Source organism: Homo sapiens, chromosome 17 (genome assembly GCF_000001405.40).
Source record: "Homo sapiens chromosome 17, GRCh38.p14 Primary Assembly".
Classification (NCBI taxonomy): Eukaryota; Metazoa; Chordata; class Mammalia; order Primates; family Hominidae; genus Homo; species Homo sapiens.
In genome coordinates, this window is record NC_000017.11 from 404,483 (window position 1) to 428,149 (window position 23,667).

General features: G+C 49.8%; 1 protein-coding gene and 1 long non-coding RNA gene across 2 annotated transcripts, besides 3 other annotated features; one reads left to right on the forward strand and one right to left on the reverse strand.

The window, feature by feature from the left end:
• Positions 1–52: 52 nt before the first annotated feature.
• Positions 53–9,541, reverse strand: LOC105371430 (uncharacterized). The gene is made up of 3 exons (NR_136407.1): positions 9,497–9,541; positions 8,647–8,931; positions 53–110 (listed from the first exon to the last, which is right to left on the reverse strand). It is a non-coding gene; the product is annotated as an uncharacterized LOC105371430 (long non-coding RNA).
• On the forward strand, positions 5,843–10,184 carry LIAT1 (ligand of ATE1). Its single transcript, NM_001013672.5, has 2 exons — positions 5,843–6,164; positions 8,666–10,184. The coding sequence occupies exons 1-2, from the start codon at positions 5,861–5,863 to the stop codon at positions 9,631–9,633; spliced, it is 1,272 nt and encodes a 423-aa protein (NP_001013694.4). The 5' UTR covers positions 5,843–5,860; the 3' UTR covers positions 9,634–10,184.
• Positions 5,895–5,984: a silencer, noted in NCBI's record as "silent region_7938". NCBI's record gives its function as "represses an Ori minimal core promoter by ATAC-STARR-seq in GM12878 lymphoblastoid cells {active_cell/tissue: GM12878}" and the evidence as "EXISTENCE:reporter gene assay evidence [ECO:0000049][PMID:35858748]".
• Positions 12,203–12,352: an enhancer, noted in NCBI's record as "active region_11437". NCBI's record gives its function as "activates an Ori minimal core promoter by ATAC-STARR-seq in GM12878 lymphoblastoid cells {active_cell/tissue: GM12878}" and the evidence as "EXISTENCE:reporter gene assay evidence [ECO:0000049][PMID:35858748]".
• Positions 22,655–23,348: an enhancer, noted in NCBI's record as "OCT4-NANOG hESC enhancer chr17:276928-277621 (GRCh37/hg19 assembly coordinates)". NCBI's record gives its function as "activates a minimal SCP1, AML or CMV promoter by ChIP-STARR-seq in naive and primed H9 embryonic stem cells {active_cell/tissue: H9 hESC(naive and primed)}" and the evidence as "EXISTENCE:reporter gene assay evidence [ECO:0000049][PMID:30033119]".

The window sequence follows — 23,667 nt, forward strand, 5'->3', positions numbered from 1 at the left end:
TTCGATGGCTTGGAAGGACAGTGGTGACGTTCGATGGCTTGGAAGGACAGTGGTGACGTTGTAAAGCGGCTTTGATGGCACGATGGTGCCAGAACTACAACTGTAGTGGGCTGAGAAGGGATGGGTCAGTGAGGAGACAGAGACTGCAAAGGAGACCAAATGGAATGATGCACAATTAAAATACCTGTAAACATTTAGATTAGCTTTCCTTGCATGGCCTTTTTATGATTATTTATGAAACGCATTCATAAAATGCATCCCTTTGCTTGAGGTGACTTTTCTCTTTCATAGCTCACTGGCTGGCTCAACATAACCTCGACACAACCTTCACTAAAATCAGAAGAGAAATGATCAAACTGTCTCCTGCCAAGTAAGCATTGAGGCAAGAAGGACCAGCTGAGAGGGAAGACGGGCAGGAGGGCAGCCAGCCTTTCCAAGCACCTGTCTGCAAGTACCAGGGTGAGCATGAAAGGGCATCTGAAATGCAAACCCCAGAGAGACCGATGGTAGCTGATCATTTCCACGAAGGCCTTCTGCCATTTGTATTTCACTTAGCTTCTAAGGACAAAAGCAGACAGGCAAGAGGCAGATACCGCACACTCTGCATGCCGAGCTGTGCTGGACACATCAGGGAGCTTGCCAGGGGATGGGAAGACCGAGGACACACGTCCTACTAACAGAAGGGCCCCTTATAGAGCAATGCGTCCGCACACACCAATGACTGTCATTTACTCAGTACTGACAGATTTATAGATTTGATGCAATCCCCATCAAAATCTCAAAGGGGATTTTAAGAAGTAAACCAGAAGATTTGAAAATGTATATGGAAAAGCAACGGCTCTAGAATCGTCCAAACAATCTTCAAAAATAACACAGTTGGAAGACTTACACTACGTGACATCAAGATTTACCATGGGCCGGGCACGGCGGCTCACGCCTGTAACCCCAGCATTTTGGAAGGCAAAGGCGGGAGGACAACGTGAGCTCAGGAGTTTGAGACCAGCCTGGGGAACATACTGATAATCCATCTCTATTTTTTATTTGTATTTTTTTAAAAAAAAGATTTACCATAAAGATACAAGATGATAAGTCAAGATGATGTGGTATTGATCAAAGGATAGACAGAACAACAGAACAAAACAGAGTCCAGAAATAGATTGACAAACACATAGTTAACTCATTTTCTACAAAAATACCAAGTCAGGCTGGGTATGGTGGCTCATGCCTGTAATCCCAATGCTTTGGGAGGCCAAGGTAGGAGGATCACTTGAGCCCAGAGATTTGAGACCCGCTTGGGCAAAACAGTGAGACCCTGTCTCAAAAAAAGAAAAGAAAAGAAAAGAAAATCAGAAATGACCAGCTGTGGTGACTCACGCCTGTAATCCCAGCACTTTGGGAGGCTGAGGCAGGTGGATCACTTGAGGTCAGGAGTTTGAGACCAGCCTGGCCAAAATGGTGAAGCCCCATCTCTACTAAAAATACAAAAAAAAAAAAAATTAGCCAGGTATGGTGGCACGCACCTGTAGTGCCAGCTACTCAGGAGGCTGAGGCAGAAGAACCACTTGAACCTGGGAAGTGGAGGTTGCAGTGAGCCGAGATCGTACCACTGCACTCCAGCCTGGGCCACAGAGTGAAACTCCATCCCAAAAAAATTTTTAAAAATCGTAATGAAAAGTACCAAGTCAAGTCAATGGGAAAAGGAATGTCTTTTCAATGGAAGTTCCTGGAAAAACTGGAAATCGATTTGGGAAAAAATAAATGTGACTCCTATATGTGACTTTATTCACAAAATCAATTTGAGGTAGGCCAGGTGCGGTGGCTCACACCTATAATCCCAGCACTCTGGGAGGCCGAGGCGGGCGGATCACTTGAGGTCAGGAGTTCAAGCCCAGCCTGGCCAACGTGGTAAAACCCTGCCTCTACTAAAAATACAAAATTAGCCTGGCATGTTTGTGCATGCCTGTAATCCCAGCTACTTGGGGGCTGAGGCAGGAGAATTGCTTAAATCCGGGAGGCAGAGGTTGCAGTGAGCTGAGATCACGCCACTGCACTCCAGCCTGGGCGACAAGAGCGAAACTCCATCTCAAAAAATAATAATAAATTTGAAGTAGATCATGAACCTAACCTAAAACCAGAACTATAAAGCTTCTAGAAGATAGCATAGCACACTGTCTTTGCAATATGGGGCAGGCAAAGCATCCTTGGACACAATACAAAAAGAAAAAACTGATCAAATGAATTGAAAATTGAAAAAAATTATTTATCAGAATTTCAAATTTCTGCTTATCCAAAGACACCACATTCAGAAAATGGATAAGTTACAGACCTGGAAAAAAAATCTTTGCAGTCATAAAGCTGACAAAACACTTATATTCAAGTTGTGCAAAGACATCAACAACAAACAACAAATCAACAATAAACAACCACATTACAGAATGGCCAAAAGACTTCAAAAGACACTTAAAGATATACAAATGACAGGCCGGGCGCAGTGGCTCACACCTGTAAACTCAGCACTTTGGGAGGCCGAGGCGGGTGGATCACCTGAGGTCAGGAATTTGAGAGCAGCCTGGCCAATATGGTGAAACCCCGTCTCTACTAAAAATACAAAAATTAGCCAGGTGTGGTGGTGCATGCCTGTAATCCCAACTACTCAGGAGGCTGAGGGAGGAGAATTGCTTGAACCCAGAAGGCAGAGGCTGCATCGAGTGGAGATTGTGCCACTGCATGGAAGCCCAGACCACACAGCAAGACTCCATCTCAAAAAAAAAAAATATATATATATATATACATATATATATATATATACACAAATGACCAGAAAGCACTTTCAAGAGTTCTTGACTTCGTTAATCACCAAGGGAATTCAATTCAAAACCACAGAGAAATACAACTTCTTACCCACTAGAGTGGCTAAAATCAAAGGCTGATTTTTCAATGGGTAATGGGGACTACTAGAGGGAGGAGGGGCTGGAAGATGTGGACTGAGAAACTACTGTTGGGTGTTGTACTCACCACCTGGGTGACGGGATCACCCATACCCCAAACCTCAATGTACTCATGTACATTGTACTCATGAGTCATGTACCATCACTCAGTGTACTCATGTAACAAACTTGCACATGTACCCCCCGAATCTAAAATAAAAGTTGAAATTAAATAAAAGATAAAATACCATTCCATATCTTTTTAAAAAGACACATTTGGTTATCTACTGTTGCATAACACATCACTCCAAACCTTCGTAACTTAAATAACTACAACCATTGTATTTTCTCTCACAGCTTCTTTGGGTCAGGAATTCAGGAAAGGCTTGTCTGCTTGGGGCTGGCCTGGGGTCTCTCCTGCTGCTGCTGCAGGACGATAGCTGGATGGGAAAAGTGGGGGCTGGAGGAGCTGAGGCATCTTTCTCTCCATACATCTTAGAGGCTCTCCACGTGGACTAGGTGGGGATTTATCAAGGTGTGACAGCCTTGGGGTCCTCAGACTTCTCAATGGGAGGCTCAGGACTCTACAGCAAGCACGTCATGGGCTAAGAAGATGGATGGATGCTGCATTCCCTTTAGGACCTAGCCTGAGAAGTCACACAGAGGCACTTCTGCCACATACTATTGGTTACAAGCGAGTCAACAAACCCCTTAAATTGAAGGAGAGCGGAATGAGACTCTGCGTCTTGCCATGGGAATGGCAAGATTCTTGAAGAGTATGTGGGACAAGAGATATTACTGCAGCCAGTTTTATTTTATCATTTTATTTTATTTTGAGATGGAGTCTTGCTCTGTCACCCAGGCTGGAGCACAGCAGTTTTATTTTATTTTATCATTTTATTTTATTTTGAGATGGAGCCTTGCCCTGTCACCCAGGCTGGAGTGCAGTGATGCAATTTCAGCTCACTGCAACCTCTACCTCCTGGGTTCAAGTGATTCTCCTGCCTCAGCCTCTCAAATAGCTGGGATTACATGCACCCACCACCATGCCCAGCTAATTTTTGTATTTTTAGTAGAGACGGGGTTTCTCCATGTTGGCCAGGCTGGTCTCAAACTCCTGACCTCAAGTGATCCACCCACCTCGGCCTCCCAAAGTGCTGGGATTACAGGCGTGAGCCACCATGCCCAGCCTCTGCAGCCATTTTCAGATAATACAATCTGTGGAGGGTAAACCTAGAAAGAAAAGCAGGTGATGCATCATACCAGGCCTTGTAAGCCACACTTTGTTATTTTTTTTTTTAAGACACAGAGGCCGGGCGTGGTGGCTCAAGCCTGTAGTCCCAGCACTTTGGGAGGCCGAGGTAGGCGGATCACAAGGTCAGGTGTTCGAGACCAGCCTGGCCAATATGGTGACACCCCGTCTCTACTAAAAATACAAAAAATAAAAAATAAAAAATCAGCCAGGCGTGGTGGCACGCACCTGTAGTCCTAGCTACTAGGGAGGCTGAGGCAGAAGAATCACTTGAACCTGAGAGGCAGAGGTTGCAGTGAGTCACGTTCACGCCACTGCATTCCAGCCTGGGCAACAGAGGAAGGCTCTGTCTCCCAAAAAAAAAAAAAGAGAGAGAAAGTCTTGCTTTGTTACCCAGGCTGGACAGCAGTGGTGCGATCTCGGCTCACTGCAGGCTCAAGTTCCTCCACAAGTGCCCCTCAGCGCAGCTGGTTAATTTTTTGTAGAGATGGGGTCTCACTACGTTGCCCAGAATGGGCTCAAGCGATCCACCCACCTTGACCTCCCAAAGTGTTGGGACTACGGGTGTCAGCCCTGCACAGAGCCCCACAAGAGTTTAGATCTTGATGTAAATTGTGATGAGGAAGCAATGGAGGACTTTTTGGCTTTTTATGTTTTGTTTTTCATCACTGGAGACTTTTAGCAAGAGAGTGAACGGTTTGGTTGTTTTTAAAAGTTTGTTCTAGCAGCTGTGCGGAAAAAGAGTTCGTGGGGAAGGTTTGAAAGCAGAGACCATTCAGGAGAGGACCCAGAAGTCCCAGTGCCAGACACGGCAGTCGGCCCCAGCCTGGGTAAGGGACAAGGGAGAGGGTAGGGGACACGGAAGCCCACCAGGTTTCCAGCCAGTCCAGCGGTTTTGTTCACTAAAGTGGAAAACCATGAAGAAGTAAGTTTGTTTTGGACACATTGGCTTTGAGAGTCCAGGGTAGATGTACGAGGCTGAAACTCAGGCAATAAAAATTGAGGGGAGAATACACAGCATTTAAAAAGGTACAGGAGGCCGAGCACGGAGGCTCATGCCTGTGATCCCAGCGATCTAGGAGGCCGAGGCGGGAAGATCGATGGAGCCCAGGAGTTCGAGACCAGCCTGAAACCAAAAATCAAAACTCTTAGCCAGGCGTGGGGATGGGAGGCCAAGGCAGGAGGATCGAGGCACGGGACTGGACGAGATGAGTGTCAGCCCAGGGATTTAAAATCTCTCTGCCCACCCTCCCCTTCCTGCGGTCAACTGTCCAGATTCCAACAGACAAAAGCAAGCATGGGCGAACCACCGTGCGCCGCGGTCCCCGACAGAAGCACGCATGCGCACACCTCTGTGTGCGGAGGTTTCCGACAGACGCACGCATGCGCACACTTCTATGCGCGGAGGTCTCCGCAGACAGAAGCACGCATGCGCACATCGCTGTGCCGGTATCGCCAACAGATGGAAGCACGCATGCGCGCACCGCTGCGTACCTAGCACTCCGACAGATGTACGCATGCGCACAACGCTCTGTTCTCGAGATCCCCGACAGAAGCACACATGCGCACACCGCTGTGTGCCAAGGTCGCCAAAAGACGGAAGCACGCATGCGCACACCGCGGTCCGTGGGGCACCGGGCGGAAGCGTCCTGACTGCGCAGGCGCAGCAGGGGTGGTCGCCATGGAGACGCGTGGCCCTGGCCTGGCGGTCCGCGCTGAGAGTCGCCGATTAGTCGGCATCGGGCCTCGGGCGCCCCCGGGGCGGGTTGGGTTGCAGCCCAGCGGGCGGCTGGACCGCCGCGGTGGGGCGGGGACAATGGGGTACAAGGACAACGACGGCGAGGAGGAGGAGCGGGAGGGCGGCGCCGCGGGCCCGCGGGGGTCTAGACTGCCCCCCATCACAGGCGGCGCCTCCGAGCTGGCCAAACGGAAGGTGAAGAAGAAAAAAAGGAAGAAGAAGACCAAGGGGTCTGGCAAGGGGGACGGTAAGAGGAGCAGCTAGCCCGGCTGCGTCAGCTCCGGTTCCCTGGAGACTCTTTGGGGACCCACCCCCCATTTACCCTTCAGACCGGAAACAGAAGCTCAGTGGTCCCGGACCGAGGTCCTCCTGCTCCCCACACATGCCCGTCAGCAGCACGTTGATGCCCCAGCCCCACCCGTGGAGACCATCCACCAACTCTGCGGTCCCTTAGCCCCACACAGAGACCCCTACAGATATCCACCATTCCTAAGAGCCTTCCAGCCCCACACAAAGACACCCTCTCAACTTCCTAATCCCTCAGCCAAAACTGGCAGTCTTAAACGTCTGCGCCTTCCCCACAGAGGCCCTCCTCACAAGACACTTTCCCCACCCCAAACACATTGATGCCACATGAAAGGCCCTCACTCTCATGCACAGAGAAGGGCAGACTCCTGCCTCCCCTCCTCCCACCCTCTTGCGTTAAGGCTGCCTGCCTGTGGATGCGCGGTAGACACCCACACCCACAGACGTGTGTATTAAAGGTCCTCGCTGCATGGGCTCCCCCTCGCACCCACCAAGGGGCAGCCTTGGACTGCACAAACCCCATGACACCAGTCACTGTGACATCCTCCTATAATCCCTGACACCCTCAACCACTCCCCGCTTCATATCAGTGTAACACCCACAGTGAAACTAAAGGGCGGGGGACACCCTCAACCACTCCCCCCACCTTCTATCAATGTAACACCAACAGTGAAACTAAAGGGCGGGACGCAGTGGCTCACACCTGTAATCCGAGCACTTTGGGAGGCCGAGGTGGGAGGATCACTTGAACCCAGGACTTCCAGGCTGCAGTGAGCTATGATCGCACCATTGCACTCCAGCCTGGGCAACAAGCAAGACCCTGTCTCTCAAAAAAACAAACAAGAAAACTAAAGCACAGATCCCCCTCATGCACACACATTCCTAGTCTACACACACAGACTGTTAATACGTTATCCATTCGCGTGTGTAGTCATATGCAGGCAGGAATTGCAGTCTCTCTCAGGGACACCTTCACAAACACACATACCCTACCTGCCATAAACCCCAGTCCCTACATCTCACCAAGCTCTTCTTGTAGAACCCCTACATTTCTTGACAAGGGGACTGAGCACCCACTTTGAGGAGAGAGAGCACAGCAGTGACAGAGAATGCAGGTGCCCGTGAGTGCTGTGAGGCCACTGTCGCCCGTGTGGTCCACCTCAGTGGCTTTGGCTGTCTGGGAGAGGGCTCTAAGCTCCAGTTCTGGGGCCTGGCCCTCTGTGGCAGAGCTGGCACCAAGGCAAGCAGGAGGCAGAGTGGCAGCCTCGCCCATATGGACCGTGCAGTGTGGGAAGGGAGCAATGGGAAGATGATAAGTACTTCTCAGGCGTAATACAAAGGCAAGAAAATTCTGCAGTTCAGGTCAAGAAGCCCTGTGTGGCTGGGCACATGGCTCACGCCTGTAATCCCAGCACTTTGGGAATTCAAGACCAGCCTGGCCAACATGGTGAAACCCCGTCTCTACTGAAAATACAAAAATTAGCTGGGCATGGTGGCAGGCACCTAGAATTGCTTGAACCTGAGAGGCGGAGGTTGCAGTGAGCCAAGATTGTGCCACTGTGCTCCAGCCTGGGTGGCAGAGTGAGACTCAGTCTCAAAAAAAAAAAAAGCCCTGTGTGTATCTGCAAAAAGAAATTTGGCAGTTCATTGTCCTTTTGGCGTAGCTTTTCACTGTAGAAATTACAGTGACATGTGCCTCATACCATCAGCAGGGGGCACCAGATAGTTTCCAGGGCGTAGCAAGGGAGGGAAATGTCAAAAGATGATTTCTTTCTCTCTCCCCTAAAATAAAAGGACGAGCTGATGAAAGAACCACAATTTGTAGCATTTTATGTGCATGTTAAATAATTCTGAAGTGCTATTGATGTTAAAAAAAAAAATCAGTACAAGCCATACAGCAGAAGTATTTCTGGCTTGGCATAATACTGCTTTCAGTCAAATTTAGGAAGCTTTTCTGTTGTTTTCCGTTCCTTCCATCATAAAGTGTCTAGACTAGGGTAGAGTCACAGACTCCCAGAACTGGGAATGGCCGTGGTGAGCACATGGCGAGGATGGATGAGGGCAGCACGGCCCAGTGGAAAGAATGGGGCATTGGGGGCCCAGCCTGCACTCAGGTCCCAGCTCTGCCACTCGCTCATGACATTGGCAAGTTCCTGAACCTTTTGGAGCTTCGGTTTCCTCACCCGAAGAATAGGGCCGATCGCCTTTACCCAGACGGCCTGGCTCAGACTGTGTGCTCAATGAATGGTTCCTCCTGCCCTGAAATGATTTCAGCAAAATCACACAGGCAGGTGGGCACGAGGCTGGTGGGCTTGGCAGCCTGAGCCCTGGGTACGGAGGGGCCCCCATCCTCCTCTTCCATCTTGGGTGATTTTGGCACCATCCCCAGCAGGCCAAGGTCAGACATTGCCACAAACACTAACCTGCTCATCTACTCAGCAGATAAACATCAGAGTCAGAGCCTGAAGAGCCAGCCGCTTTCTTCCTCCTTTCATGACATCTTAAGTCCTTGCAAAGAGCGTGGCCCGAAACCAGAGCACAGACAGAGCAAAGTGGAAAAGAAGCACCTCCCTTCTGACTCCTCCACCGTCAGCCTCCCCGACTTTGCCGAAATAGAGAACCTTGCGAATCGGATCAACGAAAGTCTGCGTTGGGATGGAATTCTTGCTGACCCGGAGGCAGAGAAGGAAAGGATTCGCATCTATAAACTGAATCGGAGAAAACGGTACCGGTGCTTGGCCCTCAAGGGCTTCCACCCCGACCCCGAGGCCCTCAAGGGCTTCCACCCCGACCCCGACGCCCTCAAGGGCTTCCACCCCGACCCCGAGGCCCTCAAGGGCTTCCACCCCGACCCCGAGGCCCTCAAGGGCATCCACCCCGACCCCGAGGCTCTCAAGGGCTTCCACCCCGACCCCGAGGCCCTCAAGGGCTTCCACCCCGACCCTGAGGCCCTCAAGGGTTTCCACACTGACCCCGAGGCCCTCAAGGGTTTCCACATTGACCCCGAGGCCCTCAAGGGCTTCCACCCCGACCCCAAGGCCCTCAAGGGCTTCCACCCCGACCCCAAGGCCCTCAAGGGTTTCCACACTGACCCCGAGGCCCTCAAGGGCTTCCACCCCGACCCCAAGGCCCTCAAGGGCTTCCACCCCGACCCCGAGGCCCTCAAGGGCTTCCACCCCGACCCCGAGGCCCTCAAGGGCTTCCACCCCGACCCCGAGGCCCTCAAGGGCTTCCACACTGACCCCAATGCCGAGGAGGCCCCTGAGAACTTACCCTACCTCTCGGACAAAGATGGCAGCTCCAGCCACAGGCAGCCCACGTCGAAAGCCGAGTGCCCCAATCTCTGTTTTGAAGGAAACCTTACCCCAAAGCTTCTACACTCTGACTTAGCTCCTACTCTGCTGGAGTGAAAATCTACCCACGACGCTCACAAACTTATAATTCCTCCTCACCACAAGTTTATGTGTTAAAAACCATCATCATAAAAGGAAATGAGACCCGTATCTGAAGGAAACAGATGTTCGGTACACGGACGACGCCGACTCTCCCATCACCAAGCTGCCCTCGGTTGCCCAGGAGAGCCACAGTGCCTTGAGAACATAAGCAATTTAGTGAACAGAGTTCTTTTCAGAATTTCCTTTTTCTTAAGTAAGCATCTCTGTTACTTAATTTCTCACCACAGCTAGATGTCTATAATCTGCCCCAAAAAGAAAAGAAAGCGTGTAGATGATTTACCTCTTAAGTCTCAATCTCATGGTGAAACTCCTCACACGGTACCTGCTTCTGTTGGCCGGAGGACGATGCCCTGAACCTCTTGGAGCCTTTTTCTGTTTTAATTAAATGCATGGCCTGCCTTTATATGGCCTCAAATAAGTGGGTTCCAGAACTCCATCCCTGGGAAGTTACCATGGGAAGTCCCAAGAGGAATACTGCTTCTTTCATAAACATGGTCCTCTCCTAATCCTCCATTATAAAAAGCCTCGCTACGCCGCGTCTCCTAAATACACATTCCTCCCCTCCACAAGTAGCCAGTGAGTGAGGGCCACGTGCTGTCGTCGTTTGTGCTCTCCCAGAAGCAGCCCCTGAGACGAGGGTTCAAATGCAAGTAGATTATCTGGGAGGTGAAGAAAGGATGAGTAGAGGGTGATACAGAGAAGGGAAGACGGCCAATCCTGGGACTTTTCTTTTTAGACAGGATCCCGCTCTGTTGCCCAGGCTGGAGTACCAGTGGCGAAATCATAGCTCTCACTGCACTCCACCTCGTGGGCTCAGATGATCCTCCCGCCTCAGCCCCCTAAGTAGCAGGGACTATAGGTGAGTGCCACCACGCCTGGCTAATTTTAAAAATTTTTTGTAGAGATTGGAGGGGGTGTGGTCTCACTATGTTGCCCAGGCTGGTCTCGAACTCCTGGCCTCAAGCAGTCCTCCCACCTTGGCCTTCCACAACATTACAGGCATATGAGCCACTGTGTCTGGCCCCCCTTCCAGGGACTATTAGGCCAGCTTTCATACTGGGCTTAATTCCACAGGGAAACCCACTTCTAGAATTATCCCACCTGGGGGTGAGGAAGCTGGGGTATTTATACTCCCCAAAGGCATTGGCCGAGGGCTGGTCGTGTGTGTGTGTGTGTGTGTGTGTGTGTGTGTGTGTGTGTCCTGGCATTTCTAGCTGAAAGGTTGTGTGTGTGTGTGTGTGTGTGTGTGTGTGTGTCCTGGCATTTCTAGCTGAAAGGTGTGTGTGTGTGTGTGTGTGTGTGTGTGTGTGTGTGTGTCTCTCCTGGCATTTCTAGCTGAAAGGTCCAAAGGAAAAGGGTGGTCTCTGGGGAAGCCTCAGCTACCTCAGCAACACCGTGGGTCTGAGAGGGACAGCATGGAGGGCTAAGATGAGATTCCTGACCTTCAAGAGGTTACAGTGTTCTGGGGTAGACAAAAAATGAATGTACACTGTACACAGGAGAGGTTAAAGCCGATACAGACATCACAGAATGCTCATTTGAAAGTTAAGTGAAAATGGCTGGGCGCAGTGGCTCAGGCCTATTATCCCAACACTGGGAGGCTGGGGCAGGTGGATCATCTGAGGTCGGGCATTCGAGACCAGCCTGGCTAATATGGTGAAACCCTGTCTCTGGTAAAAGTACAGAATTAACCAGGTATGGTTGCAGGTGCCTGTAGTCCCAGCTCCTCAGGAGGCCGAGGCAGGAGAATCGCTTGAACCCAGGAGGCGGAGGTGGCAGAGCCAAGATGGTGCCACTGCACTCCACCCTGGGCAACAGAGCAAGACTCTGTCCGAAAAAAGAAAAAAAAGTTAAGTGGGCATCGTGGTCCCTGCTAGCTCTGGGCTGGCAGAGCAGCCCTCTTCTGACCCTTCCTTAAAAGGCCAGTTACAGTTTCCACATTTGCCCTTGCACCCTGTCAAAATATACTGAAGAGACATTTGGAAGAGTCCTCTCCTGCCATGGAGAATGGTTAGCAGACAGGAACGGGCCTCCCTGTGCTGAGGCCAGGCCTGTCCTCTGCTCTCCATGGAGAGGAAGGGGCAGGAAATACTCCAGTGCCAGCCACAGGACCTCGCTTGTGCCCCAGGGTATTAAAGGCAGAGACAGAACAGAGGGCAGCCACGGGGCTGGCATCTCATGTGCCCTCCGGGTCTACCACAGTGGCTGGAGCCTGGGGCACAGAGGAGTGTGAGGGTGCACTGGGCTGAGACGGTCGCTTAGCAGCGCCTTCCATGGCGGTGAGAGGCAGGGGTGGGGGCTGTGGTCATCTCCCAGCTGCGAGGTAACATTCTGGGAAAGTAGCTAAGATGGCGAGCTTTGACACCAGAGCTGAATTCACCTCTTTCCCACCACATGCTAGCACTGTGGCCCCTGGCAGATTGCTTCACCTCTCCGAGCCTTAGTTACCTCATCTGAAAACCGGACTGCAAATTCCTGCCTTAGTGCTGTGAGAATCGAGTGCAATGAGGCATCTAGCATGGCGCCTGGCACCCAGGAAACAAACTACGAGTTTTCATCAGTGGTATTTCAGGTTGACGTGGCCACATGTCTGCTAGAGAGACTGTCCCGAGTAATGGTGTAGACCTTACCTCCTGGAAGGGTCAGCTTCACAAACGAAATCTGGCTTCAGTGGCTGGCCAAGAGAGAGAATTCACACACAGAGAACAAATGACGGGGGCCCCGGAGCAGGAGAGAGTGGAGCAGGAAGGAAGCCGGGGCCCTGAAGGCCGGTGCTTAACGTATAATGATAGAAAGCAGGTGGGGTGAAGGTTCCTGGAACACACAAGTAGCTTCAACTCAGAACACCTTGGGTTCGAAGTTTGCATATCTTCCTCACACCCAGGCTGTAGCAGTGAGGACTCCTTCAGGGCAAGAAACAAACCACAGTGAAAACCACCTTACAGACCAAGGGGAATGGTTGACTTTTTTTTTCTTTTTCTTTTTTTTTTTTTTTTGAGATGGAGTTTCACTCTCGTCACCCAGGCTGGAGTGCAAAGCACCATCTTGGCTCACCACAACCTCCGCCTTCTGGGTTCAAGCGATTCTCCTGCCTCAGCCTCCTGAGTAGCTGGGATTACAGGCATGTGCCACCACGCCCGGCTAATTTTTGTAGTTTTAGTAGAGATGGGGTTTCACCATGTTGGCCAGGCTGGTCTAGAACTCCTGACCTCAAGTGATCCACTCGCCTCGGACTCCCAAAGTGCTGGGATTTACAGGCGTGAGCTACCACGCCTGGCCGGAATGGTTGACTTATAAAGCCAACAGTCCAGGGTTGCCTGTGGCTTCAGTCATGGCTGGATCCAGGAGGTCACACTGTGTCATCAAAATGTCTCTCTCTGCGTATTTCACCTCTGCCTCCTCCATATCAGCTTTATGTTCAGGCAGGTTCTCATCACAGGATGACAAAGACAGCCACTGATATCCTTATAATTTTGTAAGGAAAAGAGAGTTACTCCTCTGTCCGTATCCAGTGTCCGTATCAATCCCAAGAAGGTCTCTGGCCTGGCAGGGGTCATATGTCCATCAGTGGACTAATCGTAGCAGCCAGGCGAATACAGTGTTTGATGGCTACAGAGACCTAGAACGTGGAGCAGGGCAGGGCAGCCCAACAGGATGCAGTGTTTGATGGCTACAGAGACCTAGAACGTGGAGCGGGGCAGGACATCCCAGCAGCCAGGTGAATGCAGTGTTTGATGGCTACAGAGACCTAGAACGTGGAGCGGGGCAGGGCAGCCCAACAGGACGCATGAACTAAACAGATTGTTACAGAATCTATCCAGAATCTGGCTGGGCGCAGTGGTTCATGCCTGTAATCCCAGCACTTTGGGAGGCCAAGGCAGGAGGATCACTTAAGGTCAGGAGTTTGAAACCAGCCTGGCCAACATGATGAAACCCTGTCTGTACTGATAATACAAAAATTAACCAGCGTGGTGGCACGCACCTGTAGTCCCAGCCACTTGGGAGGCTAAGGTGGGAGAATCACTTGAACCTGGGAGGCAGACGCTGCCGTGAGCTGAGATCACGCCACTTGCACTCCAGCCTGGGCAACAAAGCGAGATTCCAGCAAAAAAGAAAAAAAAAAAGAAAGGGAAAGGAAGAAAAGGAAGGAAGGAAGGAAAGAAAGAAACGGAAAGGAAGAAAAGGAAGGAAAGGAAGGAAGGAAGGAAAAGAAAGAGAAAGAAAGAAAGAAAAAGAATGTATCCAGAATGTCTCTGTCTCTCTCTCTCCTCTCTTTGAGACAGGGTCTGGTTCTGTCACAGAGGCTGGAGTGCAGTGGCATGATCTAGGCTTACCGCAACCTCCACCCCCTAAGCTCAAACGATCCTCCCCCTTCAGCTTCCTGAGTAGCTGGGACTACAGGCGCACACCACTATGACTGGCTAATTTTTGTATTTTTTGGTAGAGAGGCTAGTCTCAAACTCCTGAGCTCAAGCGATCGGCCCGCCTCAGCCTTCCAAAGTGCTGGGATTACAGGCATGAGCCACTGTGCCCGGCCAATCCAGAGTCTGTGTAGAATATAGAGTGATTCCCTAAGAGACGATAAGTAGAACAGGTTTGTCCATTGCTTTCCAAATGAAGAATGATTCCTTTTAATTTTCACTTTTTAAATGTTTTATACCCCATCCAATGACCTATCAAGAATGATTCATTTTTGGTGAGGCGCCGTGGCTCATGCCTGTAATCCCAGCACTCTGGAAGGCTGAGGCAAGTGGATTGCTCAAGTCCAGGAGTTAAGAGACCGGCCTAGGTAACATAGCAAAACCCCATCTCTACAAAATATACAAAAATTATCCCAAGTAGTCCCAGCTACTTGGGAGCCTGAGGTAGGAGGATCGCTTGAGCCTGGGAGGCAGAGGTTGCAGTGAGCCAAGATTGTGCCACTGCACAATCAGCCTGGGTGACAGAGCAAGACCCTGTCTCAAAAAAAAGATATATATTTTTAAAAGCCTCTGACCAAGGGTCATGGGAGTGGCTCATAGGGCTTGAGTCCATCTCAATTGACCTGAATTGACTACATGCTTATCTCCAAGACTACAGACCCTTGGACATTGCTATGGAATCCATAAAGACAAACAATGCTCTGTAATCATGGGCCCGTGAGTTGTTTTGGAGCAGAGTGTGGCAACCTTCAGCACTGTTCAGTAATAACATTTGGGGTTACGATTTGCACCTGGTTTTGGTGACACCTGAGTTTCCACCTTTAAAGCTAGTCACGTAGCTAGAATGTGCCCACATGACCAACTCAGAATAGGAGACCCCCAGCATGAGAAGACTCTGGGTTTCCTGGCACCGAGATGCTTCGTACACACACAGGTAGTGGTTTGAGACTCAGGAACAAGGCGCTCCTGCGTGAGCCTCGTGAACATCCACCATGGGCCCCACAGGAAGACAAGCTCAGGGCTGTGGCCGCCTTTATGCGGTTGGCGTGGTAAATGGCCCCCAAGGATCTCTGCCTCCTGGTATTCATGCTCGTCTCTTGAATGCGGGTTGAACCTGTTGGCTCTTTCTAGTGAATAGAATATGGCAAAAGTGATGGGATGTCACTTCCAAGAGGAAGTTACAAAAAGAGACTGTGTTCAGGAGGAGGAAGAGAAGCAATGGGTAGGTGGAGACGGGGATATTTAGGGCAATGAGACTATTCTGTATGAGACCAAGATGGGAGTTACATGTCATTATACAGTTGTCCAGACCCTTACAATGTACACCAAGAGTGAACCCTCATGTAAACTATGGACTTGAGTTAATAATAAGGTACGAAGGCCGCGTGTGGTGGCTCACGCCTGTAATCCCAACACTTCGGGAGGCTGAGGCATGAGAACCACTTGAGTCTAGGAGTTCAAGACCAGCCTGGGCAACATAGTGAGACCCTGTCTCTACAAAAAATAAAAAAATTAGCTGTGCTTGGCAACATGTGCCTGGAGTCCCAATTACTCGGGAGCCTGAGGTGGGAGGATCATCAGCCTGCAGGTCGAGGCTGCAGTGAGCCGTGATCCTGCCACTGCACTCCAGCCTGGGCGACAGAGTGAAACTCTGTCTCAAAAATACAAAAATAGAGTCTATTTATTAGCAAGAGACAGAGAAAGAGAGAGAAAGAGGGAATGGGGGAGGCTCTGGTTTCCATGTGACACACTTTTTACTTTTCGTCTTTTTTTTGAGACACAGTCTCACTCTGTTGCCCAGACGGGAGCTCAGTGGCGCAGTCACAGCTCACTGCAGGCTCAGCCTCTCCAGGCTCAGGTGATCCTCCCACCTCAGCCTCCTGAGTAGCTGGGACCACAGACACACACCACTACACCTGGCTAAGTTTTGTATTTGTTGTAGAGACACGGTCTCACCATATTGCCCAAGCTGGTCTCAAACTCCTGGGCTCAGGCAATCCTCCTGCCTCCGCCTCCCAAATTGCTGGAATTACAGGTGTGAGTCACCACCTTTATCTCTTTATCTCTCTTTATCTCTCTCTTTCTCTCAGGGATCTTGCTCTGGGGAAAGCCAGCTGCAGTGTTGTGTGGGCTGCCTGAGGAAAGGTGCCCTCCGGAAAGAAATGATGTCTCCGCCCAACAGCATGGTGGACCTGAGTCCTGCTACCAGCCACATGAGTGTGCTTGGAAGCAGGTGGAGCCCAGTTGAGCCTTGAGGTGCCTCCCTCTGTGAGAGACCCCAAGCCGGAGACATCCGGCCAAGAGGCACCCAGATTCCTGCCCCACAGAAACTGATACAATAACGTTGTTTAAAGCCACTACATTTGGAGGTAATCTTGTTACACAGCAATAACTGACTAATACAGTCGGCCTCTTCCATCAGTCACGATTCTCAGTGAGTTGTCTCGCCCTTAATCTGAGGGCTGGAAAGCCCGAAACCCAACATTGTCGTAAGAAACTGCGTTACCCAAGACACCCACTGCCAATGCTCAGGGGCCTCTGCATGCATTTCCAGAAACGATGCTGTGGCCTACAGGGTTGAGGTCACTGCGGGGGGAGTTAAGAGCCAGATAAGACTGAATGGGCCCCTGGCCAGGTGCAGTGGCTCATGCCCGTCATCCCAACACTTTGGGAAGCTGAGGCGGGCAGATCACTTGAGGTCAAGGGTTCGAGACCAGCCTAACCAACAGCCAATATGGTGAAACCCCATCTCTACTAAAAATACAAACTTAGCCAGGTGTAGCAGCGGGCGCCTGTAATCCCTGCTACTTGGGGGGCTGAGGCAGGAGAATGGCTTGAACCCAGGAGGTGGAGGTTGCAGTGAGCGGAGATGACACCAGTGCACTCTACCCTGGGTGATAGAGAAAGATTCTGTCTCAAAAAAAAAAAAAAAAAAACACTGAATGGGCCCCTTCAGCTTCATTATTTTTGTCAATTTTACGTCAGTAAAGCTGGTGGGGGAAGAATGATGGGGCCCACTTGCTATGCTCATACCAGGAGTTGTGTGCAGCTATTTGTATTATGGGTTGTTTTTGTTTGTTTGTTTTTGAGGTGGAGTCTCACTCTGTCACCCAGGCTGGAGGGCAATGGTGTGATCTCGGCTCACTGCAACCTCTGCCTCCTGGGTTCAAGTGATTCTTGAACACTGGCCTGTGTTATATTTTCATGCCGTGTGTTCTGTGTCTTGCCTGCACCTTTAATTGTAGCTATAATATCTTATGGCATTTTATAGTTTATATATAACTTCTTCTATCTCATTTGCTCCCTTTGCAGTAGAAATTATTTCCATTTTACAACTGAGGCTTAGAGAGGAGGTGATTGCTAGAATTACACAATTCCTAAGAGAATTGCTCTAAGGTCTCCAACTGTCTTTTAGGAAATCTATATCAAGCAACTGCTAAATATTCAGTTCTCTGTGTGTTGCTGCCAGAATGATACTAACAGTTCCTGTTTCTGTGGCATCTCCTCTGCCCAGGCAGGTGTTGGCCATTGAACATACATGACTTTGTTTCAGCTCCTCGACAATGTTTGAGGTGCAAGATGCTACAGTTCCCATCACATCCAAGGAAATGGGCACAGACTGGGAAAGTGACTTGCCCAGGGTCACACCAGGAGTAAGAGGAGACGCTGGGATGTCACACCCAGGCTAGCTGGTTCCAGAGATCCTGCTTTTAATTACTGCACTGCAGTATCTAAGACCTCAGCAGGTGGGAGCCAAGCCACACCCCCCAGGGGTCAACAACAATGGGAGGAGATAGATCAAGGCAGCAATGGGAGGAGATAGACCAATGGGGCTTGTCCGTGGGGTCAGTGGAATGGAAGGACTGGTTTTGGAAGAGAGAAGGGTTCCTGGGAATTGTGGCCAGAAGGGGAGGAGGGGCCTGGGGAGGTAGAAACCTCTACCACCCGGGCTCCCGAGGGCCCCCATTGTCTCAGACCTCCTGGCCACACTGCGTGTTTGTCCATGGTCTAAGCTGGGCCTCTGACACCACTGACATCCCCTCTGACCGTCACTGGACAGGCATGTGCCTCCTTCCACCATCCCAGAGCCGTGCTTCCGGGCTCCTCTCCGCAGCCTCTGCCTGCAGCTCCTGCCCACGCCGTGCCGTTGAGGACCGGAGCCTAAGGCTGCACTGCACAAAATGTGGTCCTGGGACCAGAAGAACCAACATGACAGGGGCTTGTTAGAAACTCTCTTGTTGGGGGTGCACAGCGGCTCGTGCCTGTAGTCCCAGCACATTGGAAGGCTGAAGTGGGAGGATGACTTGAGGCCGTGAGTTAGAGAGCAGCATGGGCAACAGAGCCAGAATCTGTCTCTACAAAAAAAAAGAAAAATAGTTGGCCCTCCCAGCCACTCAGGAGGCTAAAGCAGGAGGATCAACTGAGCCCAGGAGCTCAAGGTTACAGTGAGCTATGGTTACACCACTGCACTCCAGCCTGGGTGACAGAGCGAGACTCTGTTTCTAAAAAATAATAAACATTTTGGCCAGCCAGGTGTGGTGGCGCATGCCTATAGTCTTAGCTACGTGGGAAGCTGAGGTGGGAGGATAGCTTGAGCCTGGGAAGTTGAGGCTGCAGTAAGCCAAGATCACGCCACTGCACTCCTGCCTGGGCAACAGAGCAAGACTCCCTCAAAAAAATTAACAAAATGTTTTAAAAAGAAACTCCCTTGCTAGTGGATTCTCAGGTCCTCCCTGCAAACCAGACCTACGGTATCAGAAAAGTCCCAGGTAGCTCCCTGCACATTCACCGTGAGAGGCTCTGGTTGTCGGGACACAATTCCCCGTATGGAATTCTCACTCTACTTATGTTTCTCCCCGTCACCACTGGCTACCTTTGATTCAGACTCTCTTTCATAGGATGAATAGCCTTGGAAGATAGAGATCGTGTCTCCCTCCAGAGCAAAGGGCAGATTAGCTTCAATGATGACAGAAGATCTCGGTTCCCGGGCTCAGAGCTCCGCTGCTGTAACGTAAGCCCTTCTGTCCTCATGTCACCTAGAGCCTCTTCCTGTCACCCTGTGGGAAGTGATTCTGAGGAAACCAGGACAATTGCAAACACTCTGGCTACTGCTTTGCTGTGACTAATAAACATCCTTTGTCTTGTCTCTGGCCCCAGAGTCTCCTGTCTTTAGCTCACATCCATGAAATTGTGGCGGGCGGCCAGGCACAGTGGCTCACACCTATAATCCTAGCACTTTGGGAGGCCGAGGTTGGGGGATCAAGAGGTCAGGAGTTCGAGACCAGCTTGGCCAACATGGTGAAACCCCATTTCTACTAAAAATACAAAAACTATCCTGGCACGGTGTCTGGCACCTGTAATCCCAGCTACTCGGGAGGCCGAGGCAGGAGAATCGCTGGAACTTGGGAGGCGGAGGCTGCAGTGAGTTGAGATTATGCCATTGCACTCCAGCCTGGGCAACAGAGCAAGACTCCGTCTCAAAAAAAAAAAAAAAAAAAAAAAACATGAAAAGAAATTATAGCAGGCTAACTTTTTAGCTTGCTAATAGCAGAAAATCTCATTCTTCCCAGTTCGTGACCCTGGTCTAAGGGACAGGCACACTAACCATTTAATTCTCTGGTTTCTCTACGATTAAATCAGATCACCAGAAACAGTGTGATGTCACCCAAATCTTACTTTTCAAGAAATGCATAGGTAGTGAAGCAAACTAGAAAATACAGAGAAGCAAAAAAAAAAAAAAAAATGTTTTAGGAGGCTGGGCGTGATGGCACATGCCTGTAATCCCGGCACTTTGGGAGGCCAAGGTGGGCGGATCGTTTGAAGTCAGAAGTTCGAGACAAGCCTGGCCAACATGGTGAAACCCCATCTCTATGAAAAATACAAAAATTAGCCGGGTGCGGTGGCGGACGCCTGTAGTCCCAGCTACTCAGGAGGCTGCGGCAGGAGAATCACTTGAACCCAGGAGGTGGAGGTTGCAGTGAGCCGAGATCGCTCTCCACTGCACTCCAGCCTGAGCGACAGAACAAGACTTTGTCTCAAAAAAAAAAGTTTTAAAAACACTGACTAGTCCCACCATTAGGAGAGAGAGCCTCATCTGTTTGGATTCATCCTTCCAGCCTTTTTCTATTAATATATCTAAGTACAGGAAAACAAAATTGCCAGGTGTGTTGGCTCATGTCCGTAACCCCAGCACCTTGGGAGGCTGATGTGGGAGGATCACTTGAGGCCAGGAGCTCAAGTCTGCAGTAAGCTGTAGCTGCACTCCAGCCTGGGTAACAGAACAAGACCCTAGCTCTGAAAAAATAAAAAATATGGCCACGCATGGTGGCTCAACCCCTGCTCTTTGAGAGGCCAATACAGGAGGATTTCTTGAGGCCAGGAGTTCAAGACCAGCCTGGGCAACAAAAATGAGACCCTGTCTCTACAAAACATTTAAAAAATGAAAAAGAAAATTAAGGCCGGGCGCAATGGCTCACGCCTGTAATCCCAGCACTTTGGGAGGCCGAGGCAGGTGGATCACCTGAGGTCAGGAGTTCGAGACCAGCCCAACCAACATGGGGAAACCCTGTCTCTACTAAACTTACAAAATTAGCCGGGTGTGGTGGTGCATGCCTGTAATCTCAGCTACTCAGGAAGGCTGAGGCAGGAGAATCGCTTGAACGCGGGAGGCAGAGGTTGCAGTGAGCCAAGATCGCGCCATTGCACTCCAGCCTGGGCAACGAGCAAAACTCCATCTCAAAAAAAGAAAAGAAAAGAAAAGAAAATTAATGGGACAACAATACATAAATTGTTTTTAAATAATTTTCTTAAAAATATGGCTTGGTGTCCAGGTGCGGTGGCTCACACCTGTAATCCCAGCACTTTAGGAGGTTGAGGTGGGCAGATTACTTGAGGTCAGGAGTTCAAGACCAGCCTGGCCAACATGGTGAAAACCTGTCTCTACTAAAAATACAAAAAAATTAGCCGGACATGGTGGTGCACAGCTGTAGTCCCAGCTACTCGGGAGGCTGAGGCAGGAGAATTGCTTGAACCCAGGGGGCAGAGGTTGCAGTGAGCTGAGATTGCGCCACTGCACCCTAGCCTGGGTGTATTTTTTCAAGACTCCATCTCAAAAAACAAAACAAAACAAAACAAAAATATTTATATATATATATATATGGCATGGATGTCTTTCCAAATCACTAAACTAACATCTGCATCATCGTTTGTGATGTTTGCCTAGTATTCCACTGTATGAACTGTTTATTCAGTTCTCTATCTGTGGACGTCTAGTTTCTTTTTTTTCTTTTTTCTTTTTTTTTTTTTTTTGAGATAGAGTCTCTCTCTATTGCCCAGGCTGGAGTGCAGTGGCACGATCTCGGCTCACTGCAAGCTCCGCCTCCCAGGTTCAAGTGATTCTCCTGCCTCAGCCTCCCAAGTAGCTGGGATTACAGGCGCCCACCACCACGCCGGGCTAATTTTTGTATTTTTCATAGAGATGGGGTTTCACCATGTTGGTCAGGCTGGTCCTGGTCTCGAACTCCTGACCTCGTGATCTGCCCGCCTTGGCCTCCCAAACTGCTGGGATTACAGGTGTGAGCCACTGTGCCCAGCCTTTTTTTTTTTTTTTTTTTTTTTGGCTATTCTAAACAACTTTGCAATGAGTATCCTTATATGCACATTTTAGTGCAATTTTCTAGTGTTTTGGGTATGTTTTGGGGGGGTGAAATAAGCCAAAAGACAATTAAAACAATAAACACTCATATAGCTTTTAACTCACGCCAGGTACTGTTCTAAGCGCTTTGCACATATCAACTCATTTAATCGTCACGACATCTCTGGGAGTAAAGAACTCTTGCCATCCCTGTTCTATAGGGAGTTTAAGGGGCTAGCCCAAGGTCACACAGCTACTAAGTGGTGAAGCTGGGATTTGAACCAGGCATTCTGGCTCAAAGTCTGTGTGTACTCATTCTACTATGGGTTACTCCCAGTTTTAAATGCCCTCTTTGCCTTTCCTAAGAGCCAAAAAGGAAACGGCATTGGGGCCGGGCACGGTGGCTCACGCCTGCAATCCCAGCGCTTTGGGAGGCAGAGGTGGGCGGATCACCTGAGGTCAGGAGTTTGAAACCAGCCTGGCCAACATGGCAAAACCCCATCTCTACTAAACATACAAAAAATAGCTGGGTGTGGTGGTGGGTGCCTGTAATCCTAGCTACTCGGGAGGCTGAGGCAGGAGAATTGCTTGAACCTAGGAGGTGGAGATTGCGGTGAGCTGAGATCGTGCCCCTGCACTCTAGCCTGGGCGACAGAGCAAGACTCCATCTCAATTCAAAAAGAAAAAGAAAAAGAAAAACAGAAATGGCATTGGGTCAATGTGAGGATCTTCGACTTTGTGTCCGCTGTGTAGATACAGGTGGTAGTAAAGTCCTCTTCGAGTTTAGTCCCGAGAAAAGCCTTGTCTTTTAGGGACTCACTTCCTTATACTAGCGTAAAAAAATTTACAGGAGGCCATTGTTTTGGACTAAGGTACTGCACTAGGCCCAACAGTCCAGAGCGACCAAAACGAAGTCACTCGTGGCAGGTGCCCGGTGATCACCCTGAACTTTAAAATGGGTCACTTTTCCAAAAAACAGGAGATTCACAGCAACCAACAGACAGGGTTTTAGTGCCTCTGTCACACAGATGTCTTGTAGCTATCCCTATCTCCTTTTGAAAGTAAGTGGATACGATTAACACGTGAATAAAATGAATGAAACAATTCATTTAACAGTTCATTTAAACTAACTTTTTGGACCCTTCTTGCTTTGTAAGAATTCTTGGGGTCGGGAAGGTGGTGTGCTGGCACTGGGAACATCCTGTTAATTGTACTTGCCAGCTTAATTACCTAAACAAAGCCCAAAGCCTTCTAGAGAAAAGGAGTAATTTGTAATTACCAGCAACTGGTTTGACACATCAAGGCCCCTATTCTCATTCTGAAAAGGAAGCCAGCAAACATAAAGAACAAAAACCTTCCACTTAAAAAAAAAAGCCCCTTCACGCTCTAACGTCTTGATTCGACACTGCACCATTGTGAGCTTGAGAACAGTACTCAGTCTAAAAGCAACGTATCCCCTTAGACAGCTCCATTCTGACCACCACCAAAAGCTGCGGTTCTCCAAAAAATTAGCAATGGCTGGGGAGAATACGAATGATTTTTATTTTTGCTAATATGCATTTTTTTATTTTTAAGAATGAGCACTTTCAGGCTGGGTGCGGTGGCTCACGCCTGTAATCCCAACACTTTGGGTGGCCGAGGCGGGTGAAACACTTAAGCCCAAGAGTTTGACAGCAGCCTGGGCAACATGGTGAAACCCTGTCTCTACAAAAAATACAGAAATTACCCAGGTGTAGTGGCACGCACTGCAGGCCCAGCTACTCAGGAGGCAGAGGTTGCAGTAAGCTGAGATCGTGCCACTGTGCTCTAGCCTGGATGACAGGACAAGACCCTGTCTCAAAAAAACAAACCAACAATGAAACAAAGATGATAACAACCCCTACCCCAAACAAACCCCTTCCTTGCTTGGGGACCACACTGCCTTTGTGAAACTAA

Excerpts from the sequence above, each read along its gene's own strand:
- LIAT1 (NM_001013672.5), top strand. The coding sequence starts at position 5,861 with ATGGAGACGCGTGGCCCTGGCCTGGCGGTCCGCGCTGAGAGTCGCCGA. Across the intron at positions 6,165-8,665 it reads GGGGTCTGGCAAGGGGGACG|ATAAACATCAGAGTCAGAGC; the intron begins GTAAGAGGAGCA and ends TCTACTCAGCAG.